This window comes from Homo sapiens, chromosome 2, assembly GCF_000001405.40.
Source record: "Homo sapiens chromosome 2, GRCh38.p14 Primary Assembly".
Taxonomy (NCBI): Eukaryota; Metazoa; Chordata; class Mammalia; order Primates; family Hominidae; genus Homo; species Homo sapiens.
This window is the reverse complement of record NC_000002.12, coordinates 242,050,163-242,068,601: the sequence shown is the minus strand read 5'-3', so window position 1 is coordinate 242,068,601 and position 18,439 is coordinate 242,050,163. Positions and strand designations below refer to the sequence as shown.

Sequence of the window (18,439 nt, the reverse complement as noted above, 5' to 3'; positions counted from 1 at the left end):
AACTATAAGAATAAAAAAGTACAGCAAAAGATTGACTTTCTTGCAGATGCTATGATTCTATACATATAGAATTCGAGAGAATCTTTGAATAAATTACAGACATCAATACAAGAGTTCGGCAAGAGTGCAGAGAACAAGAGCTGTACTGGGAGTTCTTAGCATTTACTCTGGCAGTCACCAGATGGGGAATAGAACCCTAAATGTGGGCCATTCATGGCCACAGTAAAATCTATGACAGTCAGAGTTGAGCAAAATCCAAAAATATGTGCAAGACCTTCCTGGAGAGAACTACAAACATGTTATTGAAAGGCCCGAAGGAAGAATTTGAGGAGGAGAAGCACCAGTGTTTCGGACAGGAGTATTTGGATAACAGTAAATTCTCCAACATCTTAGCATTCAGTGAACATTCCATCAAGATTCATCAAAATATATGGGGACTTTAACAAACTGATTCCAGAGCACATATGGAAGAATATATGTGAATAAATATCTTCAGAAATGCTCACAGATGACATGGTGTAGTGCCTGTAATTGGTTTTAAAAGAGTCTGGGGGAGGAGGAGAGGCTGGTGGGGGAGCAGAGGCAATGAAATTGGGCCTGATTTGGTGATTTTTTGATGCTGAGGACAGACACATAGGAGCTCACTCTCCTATCCCATCTACTTTTGTTTTTTAACATTTTTAAAAATAACTTAACGTTTAAAAGGTTTGAGGAGAAAAAACAGTTAAAACTTTTTTTTGGAAAAAAAAAGCCAAATTGGAAGAGAAAGCAAATATATACAAAGGTATGGTAATGAAAACAGTGTGGCGTTAATAGGTTGGCAGAAAAGTGCAGAGCTCAGAGACAGACTCTCGTGGGAGTCTGTGACCCGATGGAGACAGCTTCCTAAGTTTGGGAACAAGGCACTCAGCACACAGCCCAGGGACTGGGCTTTCATCTGGGGAACAGGGTTCCTGCCTCATTCCACCCTCAAAAGGATACTTTAGATAAATAGAAGCCTAGGTGTGAACAGCCAAAAACTAGTAGAATGAAACAGACCAGATGGATTTTGGGTTAACCGGCACTGTGAGAAGAGGAAGGAGCAGAGTCGTCAATGCAGGTCAGTGCCCGTCACGTCAGTAACATGCTCAAAAGACAGATTTATGTCACGGATAAATGCAAATATACGGGTATGTGAAACTTAAAAAACAGTCATATAAAAATACAAACCAAATACCTCAAACTGGCCGCCCCGGGTGGGAGAGGCTGCAACTGTGTTGCTGTAAGGATCCTTCTACCTCGCCAGAGTCCTTTCCAAAGGACTAGAAACCAACGTGGCAAAATATTTTGTTAATTCTGGTTGTGGGAATATGACTGTTTTATAAAATTATTTGTACTTTTTTTTGTCTTTAAAATGTTTCAAGACTGGGCGCAGTGGCTCACACCTGTAATCCCAGCACTCTGGAAGGCTGAGGCAGGTGGATCACAAGGTCAGGAGATCGAGACCATCCTGGCTAACATGGTGAAACCCCATCTCTACTAAAAATACAAATAATTAGCCGGACGTGGTGGCACACACCTGTAGCCCCAGCTACTCAAGAGGCAGAGGTGGGAGAATCACCTGAACCCGGAAGGCGGAAGTTGCAGTGAGCCGAGATTGTGCCACTACGCTCCAGCCTGGTGACAGACTGAGACTCCATCTCAAAAAACAAACAAACAAACAAAAATCAAAACTGAAAAGGGCAAAGAAGGAAGAAATCCAAAGAAACAACAAAATCGCTCCAAAGTAAGAGTCCAGTTAAGCCCTTCTAGGGAAAAGAACTGAAGGGTGTAAGGGCTCAGGGGCAGTTTGCGGAGTGAGGGAAGAATGAGCTATGATGGCTCAGGAAATAAATGCAAGAGGAAAACCTTCCAGATGTAAACATGTTAGCTGACAGAGAAGCCCAAAGAAGTAGAATAAATTGACGGGAAACAGCCCTTGACGCGTGGAACAGATCTGAGGAAGTCACACAGGATGACACGAAAAATGGCAATGCGACTGCAGTGACCTCAGAGAAGATGGTAGCTGTGGAGACGACGGGAAATAGCATGGGTGCAGTTGGTGCTCTTAAAGAAGACTGAAGAAATAAAGAAAATCAAAGAGCTGAGAACACAAAGCGTCTTTAAAAAAATGAAACATTTGTACCTGTTTATCTTCTGTTCCAAGAAAAAAAGTGATAAAGATCGATATCGTAAAATACCTTGACTTGTAACCAGACCTCAAGGACAAAGGCATCTTTTGGTAGCTCGAGGAAAAGAAAATCTATAAAGGCAGGAGAGGTATGGGCCCTGAAAAAGCTTTCTCTTCAGAAAACTCCAACTTACTGTTTCAACTTCATAACGTTTACATTCTCTTTATTTATAATGCTCACATTGGTTGAGTCTTAGTTTCTCTGTTGAAGTGAAATTTTTTTTTTTTTTTGAGACGGAGTCTCGCTCTGTCACCCAGGCTGGAGTGCAATGGCTTGATCTCAGCTCACCGCAACCTCTGCCTCTCGGGTTCAAGCGATTCTCCTGCTTCAGCCTCCCGAGTAGCTGGGACTACAGGCATGGGCCACCATGCCCAGCTAATTTTGTATTTTTAGTAGAGACGGGGTTTCTCCATGTTGGTCAGGCTGGTCTCAAACTCCCGCCCTCAGGTGATCCGCCTGTCTTGGCCTCCCAAAGTGCTAGGATTACAGGTGTGAGCCACTGCGCCCAGCCTGTTGAAGTAAATTTTAACTTTGCCACCCTTTTTCTTGGCTTATTTCTTTGGTTGATTTTTGTCGTTATTGTTTGGATGGATCTTCCCTGAGTTTTTGATGACTTGAGAAAGATTGTCAGTTGCCTTTTTACTTAAAGGAAAATGTGGCTAGCTAGAAGAGGACCACATCCGCTTCCCTCGGGACCTCACAGAAGTGGACGTCTCGGGCTCCAGGGAGGCTGAGTCTGAGGCTGGCCCGGCTCTCCTCCACACCCCTGTGCTTATTCTTTCTCAAAGGACGTTGATACGTTTGGTTTTCTGCTAAGTTTCACTTTCAGTGTTCTGTTTCAAATGCAAGAATCTGTGTTTATGGTAGATAAACACGTACCATAGGTGGATCATTGGAACCGCAACCTGAACCCAGCATGTGCCATTTTAAAACGTCTTCAATATTTGATAAAATTAACTATGCTTGCGGCCCAATAAACAGTTCTTGAAATTTGAATGCATTTTTATTTAATAACTCACAAGATAAAACTTTCTATAAGCATCAGCCTCATGAATATATTTCCTATGGAAGAGTCTACAGAATTGTTTGGTTTTAATTAGAGAGTTATTTAAAAAACAACAATAGGGGCTGCTTTTGACTTTCAGCAGAACAAGATGATCTTTACCTGAAAACAAGATAAAAATTCCAAAGTCAGGGATATTGTGATTTACAACAGTGATTTGTGTAATCATTTGAGAGCACGCCTAACAGTCTCAGTTAACCCTTCCAGGCCCCCAGAGAAGCTCCCTCCTATACCTCAGCGCTGCTTCCCGGCTGTGGGAGGCTTCCTGGCAATGTCCCCAGGGATCGCTCTCACCAGCCACATGCAGATTCTGCAGGCTGGAAGCACAGCCCCATGCCAAAGGGGATGTCAGGAACACACGCGTGAACACACACTTGATCGGTGAGAAGAAGACCTGAAGGGCTGGGGGGAGCCGTTGTATTTAAAATGCAGGATGCCGCCTGGCTGGGTCATAGGTGAGGGAGGGCGCACCTGACGCCATGTGCTTCTTGGCTGCTGCTCGCGTGGCTTGTGTTGTGTGCATGAGTGTGAGCGCGAGTATGCATGTGTGTCTGAGAGTGTCAGTGAGAGTGTATGTGCATGTGTGGGACAGCTTGTGAATGCCTGTGTGTGCATGTGTGAAGCTCTCTGCATGCAACTGTATGTATGCAAATGTGTGTGTATATGTGTGTACTTGTAAGTATGCATGCATTGTGTGTATGCATGTGTGGGTGTGTTTCAGCATGTGTGTCAGTGTGTGTATGGGTGAATATGGGTGTGTGTGCATGTGTGTGTATGCGTGTGAGTGTGAATGCATGTGTGATTATGTGCATGTGTGAGTGTGAACATTGTGCGTGTGAGTGTGAACATTGTGCGTGTGTGTGAATGTGTATATGCGTGTGAGTGTGCATGCATGTGAGTGTGCATGTGTGTGAGTGTGCATGAGTATGTTTGTGTTTCTCTGTGTGGAAAGGGTAGGGTGTCAATGTGTTCCCCGCAAATCCATCCACAGCAGTGCTTTGCTCACAGGTGTTTAACTACACTTGTGCCCCCCGTCCCCACCTAGATTTTCATCTTAGGAGGCCAGGGCAGGGCCTTTTCTGTGTTAAACTCTCCCAGAGGCTGAGCTCAAAGAGCAAGGGCCTGGGTTAAACAGCGCTGTGCACAGCTGGGGACCTGCCCTGGCCTCTGGGCTCTGGGAAGAGTGGGGTTTTCAGGGTGGAGGCTCCAGCAGCTATGTCCTGATCCTGCCCGCGCACTGTGCAGGAAGTGGCTCACAGCAATGCTGTGGGTGTCCTCAGGACCTGCCTGTGGGCCATGAGGCTGGGTCCAGGCCGGGGTTTGTGTAGACGGTGTGCCTCAGGGTAGGGGCTGGGCTGTGCGGCCTCCATGTGTGGGTCCTCAGGGCTGCCCAGGAGGTGCTCATTGTTGGTGTCCTCATTGTTGGTGTCCTCCAAGCTGAGCCTTGGGAGGGGCCGCAGCTCAGGGAGAAAAATTGTTCTGAGATGACTAATTACAGAAAACTGGCTGGCACAATATCCAGTTCCTGAAGACCCTGTAGGAAAGCAAAATATTTTACTCCAAACTGTATTTTTTTGACCTATGTTGATACGGCCCTGCAAAGCCATCTTTTGTGGGGGAAATTTGCATCTGTAGAGAATCTCCATTAATGCAGCCAGGCCTTCCTTTCTAGGCCTTTCCTGGATCTAAGGGAGATTAAATGAGAGTCTGACACTTTCAAAGTCTGAAAAGAGACATTCACCTTCTATTCTCTCTGAAGACAGTGACCTGGGAGGCTTCATCTGCATAACAAGAACCGTGGTCTCCACAACCCCCTTATCTTAACCCAAGCCTTTCTTTCTAGTGACTTCAAGTCTTTAAAAAATGTTTAGCTCTTTCACCCAATTGTCAATCAGAAAATCTTTGAATCCACCTGTGACCTGTAAGCACCCCAAGTTGGAGATGTCCCACCTCTTTAGGCAGAAGCAATTTACACCTTCCACGTATTGATCAATGTCTTTGCCTGTAACGTCTGTCTCCCTAAAATGTATAAAACCGAGCGGTGACCCAACTCCCTGGGCACACTTTCTCAGGACCTCTTGAGACTGTTCCCCGGGCCATGGTCACTCATATTGGCTTAGAAGAAACTTCTTTACATATTTTACAGAGTTTGGGGGGTTTTTCGGTCAACAATAGTATCAATTTGTGAACAGAAAATAAATTCGGGGGCCGGAAGATCACTAAGCTAAAGGGAAAAGTCAAGTTGGGAATTGCTCAGAGCAAACCTGCCTCCCACCCTAGACAATGTCATCTTTCTGCTCACTGAGACAAAATCATATCTGATTGCTTCCTTTGCAAAGGCTCATCAGAAACTCAAAAGAATACAACCATTTGTCTCTTACGTTCCTGTGACCTGGAAGCCCCCTCCCTGCTTCGAGTTGTCCCCACCTTTCTGGATGGATCCAATGTACATCTTACATATATGAATCGATGTCTCCTGTCTCCCTAAAATGTACAAAACCAAGCTGTGCCCCGACCACCTTGTGCACATGTCGTCAGGACCTCCTGATGCTGGGTCACAGGCACGTGTCCTCAATCTTGGCAAAATAAACTTTCTAAATGGACTGAGACCTGTCTCAGACATTCGAGGTTTACAAATTGCAAGATACTATTTCCTAGAAGATGTTTAGTGAAATAAATATTGACCATTCCTGATATTTTTACTTTATCATTGTGAATCTACTTATTCTGAAATATAGTAAAACATTTTACTACATTTTCTAATCAATAAATTATCTGGTGCACATTGCCTTAGGACATCATATGAGGCTGAATGTGTTAGAAAAATCATAACTGAAAAATTTAAGAAATGAGGCCAGGTGCAGTGGCTCACACCTGTGTAATCCCAGCACTTTGGGAGGCCAAGGTGGGTGGATCATCTGAGGTCAGGAGTTTGAGATGAGCATGGTGAAACCCTGTCTCTACTAAAATTACAAAATAAAAATTAGTTGGGTGTGGTGGTGCATGCCTGTAATCTCAGCTACTCAGGAGGCTGGGGCAGGAGAATTGCTTGAACCCAGGAGGCAGAGGTTGCAGAATCGCACCATTGCACTACAGCCTGGGCGACAGAGTGAGACTCCATCACACACAGTGGAGTGATCTCGGGTCACTACAACCTCCACCTCCCAGCCGCCTGCCTTGGCATCCCAAAGTGCCGAGATTGCAGCCTCTGCCGGGCCGCCACACCGTCTGGGAGGTGAGGAGCACCTCTGCCCGGCCGCCCCGTCTGGGAAGTGAGGAGCCCCTCTGCCTGGCCGCTGTGCAATCTTCCAAGTGTGAAGTGACAGCCTTTCTGCAGGTGTACCCAACAGCTCCGAAGAGACAGCGACCATCGAGAACGGGCCATGATGACGATGGCAGTTTTGTCAAAAACAAAAGGGGGAAATGTGGGGAAAAGAAAGAGAGATCAGATTGTTGTTGTGTCTGTGTAGAAAGAAGTAGACATAGGAGACTCCATTTTGTTCTGTACTAAGAAAAATTCTTCTGCCTTGGGATGCTGTTGATCTATGACCTTACCCCCAACCCGGTGCTCTCTGAAACATGTGCTGTGTCCACTCAGAGTTAAATGGATTAAGGGCGGTGCAAGATGTGCTTTGTTAAACAGATGCTTGAAGGCAGCATGCTCGTTAAGAGTCATCACCACTCCCTAATCTCAAGTACCCAGGGACACAAACACTGCGAAAGACCGCAGGGTCCTCTGCCTAGGAAAACCAGAGACCTCTGTTCACTTGTTTGTCTGCTGACCTTCTCTCCACTATTATCCTATGACCCTGCCACATCCCCCTCTCCAAGAAACACCCAAGAATGATCAATAAATACTAAAAAATAAAAAATAAAAAAATGAGCCATGCACCCTGGTACTGCACCCCCCATCTGGGTGCCTCTGGGGAGGGTCCTCGTGGCACCCTGGTACTGCACCACCCACCTGGGTGTGTCTGGGGAGGGTCCTTGTGACACCCTCATACTGCACCCCCCACCTCGGTGTGTCTGGGGAGGGTCCTCCTGTTTCTTGTTAATGCACATCACACCCTTCATCCCAGGTAAGAAAAGGAAGATGGGGATGCTGAGAGGAGCCCTCTTCTTTTGTTTTATTATGTTTTCAACTCAAATATTCAAGGCCACTGAGACACAGGATCCATTTCCACGCCTAATCTTCCTTCACCAGTCTCTTGTTGAAGCATCTAAGAAGAGCAGGCCTCCCTTCATGCCATGGAGATCGGGAAATCACGGGCTCACAGGCAATTTGGGTGCACAGAAGAATCTGTCAGCCTCAAACACATCTCCTGGGGTCTTTTTAAAATTATGTTTGGCAGGCTTGATTTTGCCCCACCTTCCTGTGCAGCTTTACTGCAAGGCTATAAACATTTAAATGAAGCACCCAGGTGAGGGTGTTAATTGTTGAGATTCTAGTAGCTGATCTCCTGTCTGGGATTCTTTGAACTTGTTAATCATTGAAATGAGTCCATCTGGGGCTACTGAGAGGTCGCAGGCCTGACACCAACTCTCTGCTCTGACACAGGTTTGGGATGTGATGGAGAACGAGCTGCACAAGTCTCTGGGCTCCTGTAAAAGATTGGTTGCAGAAATGTCCTCAGAGTTGTTGGGAGGATTCAATAGAAGATGCATGCAAAGCACCTGGCTGAATGCCCAGAGCCCTGCAGACACTCAGGAATGAGTAACCATGCAGATTTTCTACGCCTTTAGACCAGATATTCTAAGAAACTTCCTGCTATAGATTAACTAGATCCTGATTGTGTTTTTCATTTCCAGGCTTAGAAGAAATAAAGGAAATATCCCAGGAGCAAAAACAAAACACACACATGCTCCTCTCAAGAGTCACTGGCATCCCAGCTGAAAAGTCAGCTCTACACCTATGGGACCTATGGGCCTGTTTCTGAGCTCTGTTTTGTCTCTTTGGTCTGAGTGTCTATCTGAGGCCAATACCACAGTACCAAATGCGATTGCTTTAGAGGAAGTCTTGAAATCAGATGAGGTAAGCCTTCCAGTTTTGTTCAGCCTGTTGGCTATTTTCTATGAATTTAAGAAGCAGCTGAAAATTGATGTTAATTACAAAAAAAAAAACCTACTGAGATTTTATTGGGATTGCTTTGAACAGATTAATTTAAGGAGAGAGACACCATCCAAATATCCAGTCGTCTGGTCCATGAACATGGTTTTCCTCTCTGTTTATTTAGGTCTTTTAAAACTTATCTTAGCAATATTTTCTAGTTTTCATTTTACAAGTCTTAAAAATATTTGTCAAATATTTATCAAAATGTTCCATATTTTGATGACTTTATAAATGATATTTAAATGTAAATTCCCAATTGTTCATTGCAAGTTTATAGAAACAGTTGTTCTGTGTATCCTCAGCCTTGGTAACTTCCCTCTTAGTTCTAGGCATTTTTTTGTGTCAATGAAAAGAGTCAAACTCTGTAAAGTATTTGAAGAGATTTATTATGAGCCAAAAGAGAGTGGCCAATGTCCTGTGACGCAGCCTCAGGAGATGCCGAGAACATGTGCCTCAGGTGGTCGGGGGCAGCTCGGTTTTCTACCTTTTAGGGAGACATGAGGTATCAATCAAACACGTGTAAGATGTACGTTGGTTTCATCTCGAAGGGTGGGACAACTCTAAGTGGGGGACTTCCAGGTCATTTAAGATTTAAAGATTTTCTGATTGGCAATTGGTTATTATCAATAGAAGGGAGTGTCTGGGTTATGATAGGGGATTGTAGAGACCAAGGTTTTATCATGCAAATGAAGCCTCCAGGTATAGACTGTAAATGTTTCTTCTCAGACTTAAGAGATCTGTGTTGATATTAATGCTAGTCAGCTTTTCCTGAATTCCAAATGGGAGAGGGAATAACGAGGCTCGTCGACCCCATTCCCATCATGGGCTGAGCTATTTTTTCAGGTTAACTCTGGAATGCCCTTGGCCAAGGGGAGGAGTCTGTTTAGATTGTTGGGGGGCTTAGAATTTATTTTTGGTTTACATGTTATGCAGAATTTTCTACAGATGATGATGCCCTCTGTGAGTAATGATAATCTCACTCTTTTCTTTCCAAACATGATGTGTTTTTTGCTTGTCTGAGTAAGCCGACTAGGATTCCTGGCACCATCGTGAACGGCTCTGGTGGGCACAGGCAGCCCTCTGCTGCTTCTGATCTTAGGTGGGAAACTGTCATATTTCACCACTAATAAAATTTTAAAAGACAATTCTGGCAAAGATCAGAAATGGCAAAGACAGTGGAGGGTGACAGAGGGGTTTGCCTGCAACAGTTCATGTTTTTTATTTTGTTAAAAGAGAGTTACAATTATTACAGAATATTATCGGGTAGAAAACAAATGGCATTTGTCTTACATTATTCTTTCTACTTTGCTTTTTGTTTTTAAAAAATATACCAGAGAAATGAAAATAAAGTCAGCCTCCATAAAATTATGAAGAAGAAAGGCAGTATCATAATGATTATGCAGGAACCAAGGACTGGCCTGGAAGATGGGCCCCCAAGCTCACAGGGACACCAGCAGGCACTGCTTCTAGACATGGAGCCTCAGTTCCAGAATGTCCCGTGACATGACCAGGAGTAGGGAACCAGCCCTCCCGACCTCCATGTCTTATTTGCCAGGCAGGGGTAACTGCAGGCTGGCCCTGACCAGGATGACCACTGGCTCCCACTGTGGATGCATTTCGTGCGTGGCCTGCATTGGACATCGGCTCACCCATGTGCTGGGGTGTCCAGGGTCCAGGGGAAGCTCCAGGACACATTTGAGGATCAGGAGAGCAACCTGCATAGTGCAGGACTCTTGTCAGGGAGACCACGACCCGGGAGCCTTTCCTAGAAGACACAGAGTCCCCAAAAATACCTGTGACAAGGGTCTCATCACAGCACTGTCTGAGAGTGCTTGGAGAGAGGGAACCTGCCTGCAGCTGTTCCCAGAGCAGTGGGGCGGGGGACACTCCCCTACTGAAGAAGGCATTTCCTTTTGGCGCCTCCAGTTCCCCCTGCCAGGACGTCAGCACCCAGGCTCTGATGTGGGCTGCTGGGGGCCACGGCACTGCAATGCTGCCCTGGATTGAATGGGGCGGGGGCTATAGATGTATAATACAAGTTGGATTTTAGAGACTTGGTATGTGGCATAGAGTCTCAAATGTCCAAAGATGTGTCGCATTGATTTCAGGGTGAGTGGATAGTTGTTCTGATATACTGAGTTCAGTAAAATACATCGGCAGCAGGAATTTTACCGGTTACTGTTTCGTTTTTGTAAATATGGCTACCACAAAATATAAGGGCACGCAGGTTCACGCCCTCACCCAGCACTGGCCTCCCCTTCCCAGACAATCAGCCACATCTTCGCCTGCCAGCATGGCCCCTTGTTCTCAGGGCTCCTGCCCTCATGCTCCTGTGTCCTCCAGTCCCCCTGCCCTCTAGGAAGCCTCGTGGCTGATGGGGCTTTGCTCAACCTGGTCTCGCGCTCACCTCCACCTTTGGCTCTAAGGCTTGTCATCCCTAAATGAGTGCCACCGTCACGGAAGCTTCAGGTCCACAGAGCTGGATGCCCCGGCCAGGCCTGCCAGCCTCATTCCTCGTCCAGAGCACAGTAGCTCCTGCAGGTTCCCCTCCTATTTGACCAAAATAACCCTCCCGATCCCCTAAATTTAAAACTTCAGTGTGGACCCTGCCTGGGGTTCCAGGACCCCAGCCCCTCTGCTTCGCTCTCCACAGCGTTTATCACTCGACCCGTACCAGGCTCCTTACCCGTTTCTCCTATTTCTCTCTCCCTTTAGGAGGGCAAGACTATTGTTCACTGCTATTTCCCCACAGCTAGAACGGTGCTTAGAGGTACGCAGGTGTGCACACCCAGGTGCACACACACAGGAATGCACACAGATACACACTCACAAATACACACACATCTTGTATGTGTGAAAATAAGTAAATCAAACATCTTCATATTGTTTCAGTACTTTAATATTTTAGCTCTTTAAAAGATTCCACATTTACATGGTAGTGTTTCCTATTCAGCATTTTTCCCTTGATCACTCTGTCCTATTCGAAAATATTCTAAAACAATTTCTGAAGCCAAACCATCGAACTCTTCAAGACTAGGTCTCTAAGCAAATATGCCAAACAGACCCGATTCAAAGTCAGGGAAACCACAAGGCTGTCAGCCCAGCATGTTCCGTTGAAAGGCGAGTCTGAAGCAACGTCCCAGACCCCTGAGGTGGGCTCCATCCCAGCAGCTCCCCTGGGTCTGTGCAGGGCCCCCCACGCCTCCGAGTCGGAGCCAGCTCTCAACTGGCCAAAAAGAAGATGTGATGACTGTGAGAGCCTCTCCAGGTCCTTCGGGTCGGACCTGTCACCTAATTGGGTGAATTACGGCTGAATAGGTGAGGACTGTTTAACTGCCTTCAGGCATCTTTCAGATTGTGTGGTTAGCTAAGCCAGCTGCTGCAAGAAATGGAAACAAACTCATTCCAGGGTTGCCTCTGGAAGACGCAGGTGCCCACGGCCCTCCAGTCCCCCTGAATCCTCATCTTAAAATAAAATAGGTTGGCCCTTTTTCATTACTAAACTTATTCAAATACAGGTGTCCAGCTTGCACGGAATTACCCTCCATTTTCCATTTTTATGCACTAAATGCATACGCATATTTCTAGACTATTAGTTTCTTCATTTTTTTCTTTACAAAAGAGGACTCTTTCTGCTTTTATTAATTTTGACGATTTTCTCTAATATACTGTAAGATTTAATGCATGTTATTTTCTAATTGCTGTATTTCATCCTGGATTAAAGTAACCTCAAAAAATAATCATCAAGAAGAGATGGAAAGAAAAGAGGGGAATGAGAAAAAAATGAACTTTACCTTTCAACAAATTTATAAAAAGATGTGTTTTTTATTCTTTACAAAAACTAAATTATTGTTCATAGGCTGAAGGCTGTTGAATTATGAGAAAGCGTCATTTGAAGAGATGGATGCCTGTGACCCCGCCAGGCTCTGCAGACCTGGAGGCGGCTCCAGATCTGGGGTGTGCGGCGCATTGTGTGTCCAACAGGTGATTAACTCTGCTGGTGACATGTGTTTTTAGATATGTGTGTCTTTTCTATGAGAGTAAATCATAAAGCCCACAGGATGTGCAAGCAGCCATTCTCGCTGGCCAGGCGGTGTTAGCGCTTGCAACGCACATAGATTATATCCAGGAGGATGCAGTCAATACTTTCTGGGTCCTTTTTAGGTTTTGGGGGCTTTGCAACACGCTTTACACTGCCCCTCATAAACCCGTCCTAACTGTGCGTTCCAGAAAATGTGCAGTTTCTTAAGTTTAGGAATTTTTTTTACGGCTTTTATTTTGAATGCTTGGATTCTTAACTTCTGGTCCCAGTGCAGGTTCATAAACAGACATGGGGACAGAGGTCTGCCTGGCCAGAGCTTAGTTCTGAGGGACACGCTTCGGCCATCCGGAGAGAGGGCCTGCTCCCCAGGCTGAGGAGACAACGGCCACGCCGGGGAGCACCACTCCCAGTCAGGGCCTAAAGCGTGGAGCCTGGGAAGAGGGGGCTTGCTCCTCCGCCTGCTCCTGGCAGTACACCCCAGGTCCCCCCGTTACCTAGGGAATGGCGCTGAGCAGGGCAGGTCCCAGGGCGCCATGGAGAGAAGGATGTCAGCCGCAAAGCCCTTGGGCGACCAGGCCCAGAGCCGCCCACTTGGGACAAGCCGCCAGGAGCAAGGGCACAGCTTTCTTCTGGGTCTCGCAGGCCCCTGGCTCTGCACAAATGGTGGGAGGGACCGATCCTACCCTGGAACCGTAGAACCTCGTCCAGCTCTGAGTCAGGAGCCATGGGGGCCATGGCCTTCCGGGCCTGCTGACCTGAGTAAGGGTCCCAGCACCGCTTCCAAGGCCGGGACAAACGCCTGCTCCTAGTGGGTCCCGCGTTGTTCCCGCTTGTTATCTAAGAGATGCGGTCAGCCCTTCGGAAGCCCTCCGACCCCGCCCAACCCCCACACTTCTCCGGCCGCTGCTCCTCTTCCCCCATTCAAGCCAGTCTGGCCTCCGGCTCTGTTCAGAGCAAGCCCAGCCTCCTTGTCATGGACTGGAAGGACCCCTGGCTCCAGGCTCCCGTCCTGCTCACACCCAGGAGTGTGGGCCACGCACTCCCGGAACCTAACTGTGGGTGAATGCTGGCCCTGGCTCCAGGCTCCCGTCCTGCTCACACCCAGGAGTGTGGGCTGTGCACTCCGGGAACCTAACTGGGGCTGGAGCTCGTCCTTGTCTCCTCTGACATCAGCTGGACGCACCATTTCTCTCCAAACCACAAACTCCCCTGAGCTGCCCTTTCTCTGGGAATGCATAGCTGTCGGGATCCCCACGGGCTATCACCTGCCAGGTTGAGGTCTGGCAGGAGTCTTCCTACCTCATGACAAAGCTTCAACCCTCTCCAGCCAGGAGACACTTAACTCTGCTCATTGCCCCTTTGAAGCTTGTGATATGAACAGACCCACATCCAGTACCATCTCTGCATCAAAAAGCTTTGGTTACGAGTGAGGGAAATCAGCTAAAACGCACTTATGCAAAAAAGGGACAAAATGAACTCTCATTAACTGGACAGTTCAAAAAGGGGAGGCTTCAGGCATGGCTCGATCCAGAGGTCAAACTCCTGCTGGTTGCTCTTGGTCTCCGTCTTACTCTCAGTTGGTGTTCAGGGCCATGCATGTTGCCTCCACATTTTGGCAAACATGTACTCTGGGCCCTGGGGGCTGAAGTCATCCACAGCTCTAGTGACTGCACACCTCAGCGACCTCTGCTTCCTCTGAGGTGAGCCTGGCAGGAGCACGTCCACAGGCAGTCACCAGAAATGAAGCCACTCAGGACTGTCACAGAGCCACAAGTGTCCAAGCCAAAAAGTCAAAGTGTAAAAAGGAAGAGGGAGCCCCCTCCACCCCTGCCTGAGGTGTTTAAACATGGCGAACACGGATAACTAAATGCCATTCAATCAAACCTTACTTTCTATTCCTTCTCTGTCATCGAGGGGCACAGCTCTGAGGGTAGAACATTTAGCATCTCATTAACAATGGCCGTGTGCTGCTGAATATCCGAGTGGGAAGCCAGAGTTTGCAGAGAAGCTTCGTGTGTGCTCCAGCCCATCGAGTGCCTGTTTACGGAGCAGGTGACAGGATTGAGGCTTCACCCGCTGCCTCCACATGTACAGCCATCGTGCAGGGCTCCTGCCGCGTTCAAAGGCATTACGTTATCTCTCAAGGGAAAGTCATACTTTTAAAATACAAAATTCTCTTTTATGCAGCAAAATTGCTGTCATACATATTTCAATGGAAAATTAAGTGTTGTAATAAAATATAACAAGGATGATAAAGGCATGTAGTATTTTATGCCATCGAATGCCATTATACCATCCCATACAATAAATTGGTACTGCTCTAAGTAACCTTCAAAACAATTTAGTGCTAAGTAAATAACTACACTTAGCTGTAAGTGGCAATACGGTATGAATTATAATTGTCAAATGACATCAATTGATCAGTCATAAGTCAATGACAGCATATAATTTTTCAGCAATACTTTTTCAACTAGGGAGTAGTCTCTATAAAAAGGACTTGTAATTAATTTCTAAGGAGAGTAAATATTCTTTGGAAAGACTGAGATGTGAGAAAATTACACCCTAACATAATTTAAGGAACAAAAGTTTTGCAGGATGCGTGACAACTATTTTATAGTTTAAGAGGATGGCTTAGCTCATTGCAAAAGAAGAAGAGGGAACAAAGAGTTGGGGGAAGAACCAGCCCCTCTGTCCCCTGTCCTTCTATCTTGTCTGTGTGTCTGTATATCTGTCTCTCTGTGTCTCCATCCCTCTGTCCACTTTGTCCTTTATTTTCTCCAAACACCTCCTGTCTTCACAGAGCCATCTACACTCTGTGGCCCATATCTCTCCCTCGAAGCTCCACAGAGGGCCCCATCCCATCCCTGCTGCTGGAGGTCTATTTGGGCCTCCAAATAGTCAAAGGCTGCTCATGTCTCCAAGTGGGCTCAGGTTGTGTTTTCAGGGGCACCTGTTTCTTAAGCTGTATCTAAATATGCTGGTTTCCCAAGGATACATCTCTCGGCTCCACTGAAGCCACAATTCTCCTTGGGAGAAATTATGTATCAGTAACTTCAGCTTCCTTGCACATAGCAATGAAACATACATTAGCATTCCCTTTATTGTAAATAATTTTCTCAGCTAAGGAAACACACTTTATGCTTATTGGAAATTGTCAACTTCATGGCTCACAGACCCCCAGATTTTAATGTGACATGCATCAAAACAGACACACACTGTCATCATCATCATCCTTATATTTAAAAAGATCATTTATGTTTAAATGTGGTTCTTCCCTCCAATTCCAGATCTTAGTTAACCACGCCCCCAGTTTTGGAGCCACCCAGGCGAGAATCCCAGTGACCACCTTTCCATTCTCCTTGTCTCCTGGTCACGAGAGCCCTGGATGCTGCCTGCTTTGCCCTTTCCTGCTCCTGCCAGTGGTGGGTACCCCCTTGCGACTGCAGCAGTGCCCATCTGTGACGCTGCAAGGCGTCTGGGGCAGTGCTGTCCACACTGAGGGTCTCCCTCCATCAGTCCTACACCTTGGCAGCAGTCATTTTGTTCAAATACAAGAGCGACCATCGCAGTCCTCGGCGACCTCTCTCACCTCAAGTCAATACCAAACTCCCTAAAATGTCAAAATCTGACCCTCCCTACTGCCCCAGGCCCCTGAGTGTCAGGCACTGCCCCCGACCAGTCTGTAAATGACTAGCCCCTCATTAACCCATGGAGGAAGCACAAGTTCCCAGCAAATCCCCATCACACCCTTGCGTCCAAAAGAGACACGGCAGAGAATTGCCACCCGATGTTCGGTATCTATCATTGGCTACCCTTGAGTCCAGAAGAGACACGGTGGAGAATCACCACTGGATGTTCAGTATGTCATTGGCTGCCAAAATATAATGGAGCTTAGAACTCAGGCTGCAGGCTCTGTATTTCAGTCTTTTTTTTTTTTAATTTTATTATGATTATACTTTAAGTTTTAGGGTACATGTGCACGACGTGCAGGTTTGTTACATATGTATACATGTGCCATGCTGGCATGCTGCACCCATTAACTCGTCATTTAGCATTAGGTATATCTCCTAATGCTATCCCTCCCCGCTCCCCCAACCCCACAACAGGCCCCGGTGTGTGATGTTCCCCTTCCTGTGTCCATGTGTTCTCGTCGTTCATTCTTTGTTCCAGATTCATATTCATAACACAGTTTCTTGAAGCTTATTCATTGTTCTTCTCTATGTTATGATTCCAATAATAGTGACTACCTGCAAATTTCTGTTAAATTATAGGCTTGTTAAGATGTAATTCACAGACCACGATCGTCATCACTTTCAAGTATACACTTCAACATTTTTAGTGTATTCATAGAGATGTCCAACCATCACTGCTATATAATTTTACAACATTTAAATCATCCTAAAATGAACCTTGGACTCAACAGCAGTCATTCCCCTTCCTCCCTCTCCCCCAAGCCCTGGCGACCACAAATCTACTTTCTGCCTCTGTGGATTTGCTGATTATAGACATTTCATGCAAATGGAATCTTAACATTTCATGTAAATAGAATCTTTGGTTTATTTCATTTAAAGTGATGTTTTGATGATGCAACTATTTTACAACATTTTTTCATTTCTTTTTATTGCTGATAATAATCTGTTGTATGAATATACCACATTTTGGTTCTCCATTTATCAGTTGTTGAACATTTGATGTGTTTCCTTTTTTTGGTATTATGATCAATACCAAATGTTGCTATGAACATTTGTGTACTAGCTTTTGTGTGTGAATATTACCACAGTTCTCCTAAGTATACATTCAGGAATGAAATAGCTGAATTATATGGTAACTCTGTTGCAGTTTTGAGGATCTGCCAAACTGTTTTCCAAAGTGGCTGCATTTTCCAATTCCATTAACAATGATTGAAGCTTCTGATATTTTCACCCCTCTCTCTCTCTCTCTCTCTCTCTCTCGTGTCAATGTAGTTGTTGTGAAGTGATGTTTTATTGTGGTTTAATTTGCATTTTCCTAATTAATAATTTTGAGCATTTTCAAAGGCTTATGGGTCATCTGTATATCTTTTTAGGAGAACTATCTAGTTTTTGTTCATTTAATTTGCTTGTATTTCTTTTTATCACTGGTTATTAGCATTCTTTATATATTTGTATAACAGTGCTTTATCAGATTTGTGATTTGCAAATATTTTCTCCCATTCTGTGTGTTGTCTTTACACATACTTGAGGGTGTCTTTTGAAACTGCAAGATAATCTTTAAATTTATTTTGAATATTTACAAAATTGTGATAAAGTCCAAATTATCTGATGTGTCTTTTGTTGCTTGTGCTTTTGGTGTCAGTTCTAATAAATCATCGCCAAATCCAAGGTCACACAGAATGTACTCCTATGTTTTCTGCTAAAAGTTTTATAGTTTTAACCTTACTTTTAGACCTATGATTCATTTTGAATTAAAATTGTATATGGTGTGAAGTAGAAATCAAATTACATTCTTTTGCAGGTGGATATCCAGTTGTCCTAGTACCATTTGTTGTAAAGACCATTCTTTCCTCCTTGAATTCCATTGGCACACTTGTCAAAAATCAATTGGCCATAAATATAAGGGCTTATTTCTAGACTTTCAGTTCAATTTCATTGATGTATGTATCTATCTTTATGCCTCTGTCATACTGTTTTTACTACTGTAGCTTGGCTGTGCCACTTTGAAATCATGAAGCACGAATCCAACAACTTTGTTTAAAATTTTCTTTAAGATTGTTTTTGGTGTTTGTAGCTCCTTATATTTCCATATGAATTTTAGGATTAACTAGTCAATTTCTAGAAGTAAAGCAGCTGAGTTGAAATTTTTGAAAGGGATTTTGTTGAATCTGCAGATCAATTTGACCTTAACAGTGTTAAGTTTTCCAATCCATAAGCATAAAATATCATTCTATGTATCTAATTTTTTAAACAGTGTTTTGTAGTTTACAGTAACAAGTCATAACTTTTTTGTTATATTTCTTCCTATTTGATTCATCGATG

General features: G+C 45.1%; 2 long non-coding RNA genes across 2 annotated transcripts in view, besides 3 other annotated features; one reads left to right on the top strand and one right to left on the bottom strand.

Annotated features, from left to right (window-relative positions):
• The window catches only part of LINC01237 (long intergenic non-protein coding RNA 1237), a 197,360-nt gene that overhangs the window by 10,121 nt on the left and 168,800 nt on the right, over positions 1 to 18,439 (bottom strand). The window lies entirely within an intron of this gene.
• LINC01880 (long intergenic non-protein coding RNA 1880) overlaps positions 1 to 18,439 on the top strand; it is a 36,455-nt gene that overhangs the window by 15,537 nt on the left and 2,479 nt on the right. The window contains exon 2 of the long non-coding RNA NR_146651.1: positions 8,083 to 8,305. This is a non-coding gene — a long non-coding RNA (long intergenic non-protein coding RNA 1880). The remainder of the gene's footprint in view (positions 1 to 8,082; positions 8,306 to 18,439) is intronic.
• Positions 3,881 to 4,558: an enhancer, noted in NCBI's record as "H3K27ac-H3K4me1 hESC enhancer chr2:243006195-243006872 (GRCh37/hg19 assembly coordinates)". NCBI's record gives its function as "activates a minimal SCP1, AML or CMV promoter by ChIP-STARR-seq in naive H9 embryonic stem cells {active_cell/tissue: H9 hESC(naive)}" and the evidence as "EXISTENCE:reporter gene assay evidence [ECO:0000049][PMID:30033119]".
• Positions 4,559 to 5,235: an enhancer, noted in NCBI's record as "OCT4-NANOG-H3K27ac-H3K4me1 hESC enhancer chr2:243005518-243006194 (GRCh37/hg19 assembly coordinates)". NCBI's record gives its function as "activates a minimal SCP1, AML or CMV promoter by ChIP-STARR-seq in naive H9 embryonic stem cells {active_cell/tissue: H9 hESC(naive)}" and the evidence as "EXISTENCE:reporter gene assay evidence [ECO:0000049][PMID:30033119]".
• Positions 6,290 to 6,584: a silencer, noted in NCBI's record as "tiled region #9157; HepG2 Repressive non-DNase unmatched - State 23:Low, and K562 Repressive non-DNase unmatched - State 21:Repr". NCBI's record gives its function as "represses a minimal TATA promoter and a strong SV40 promoter by Sharpr-MPRA in HepG2 and K562 cells {active_cell/tissue: HepG2 | K562}" and the evidence as "EXISTENCE:reporter gene assay evidence [ECO:0000049][PMID:27701403]".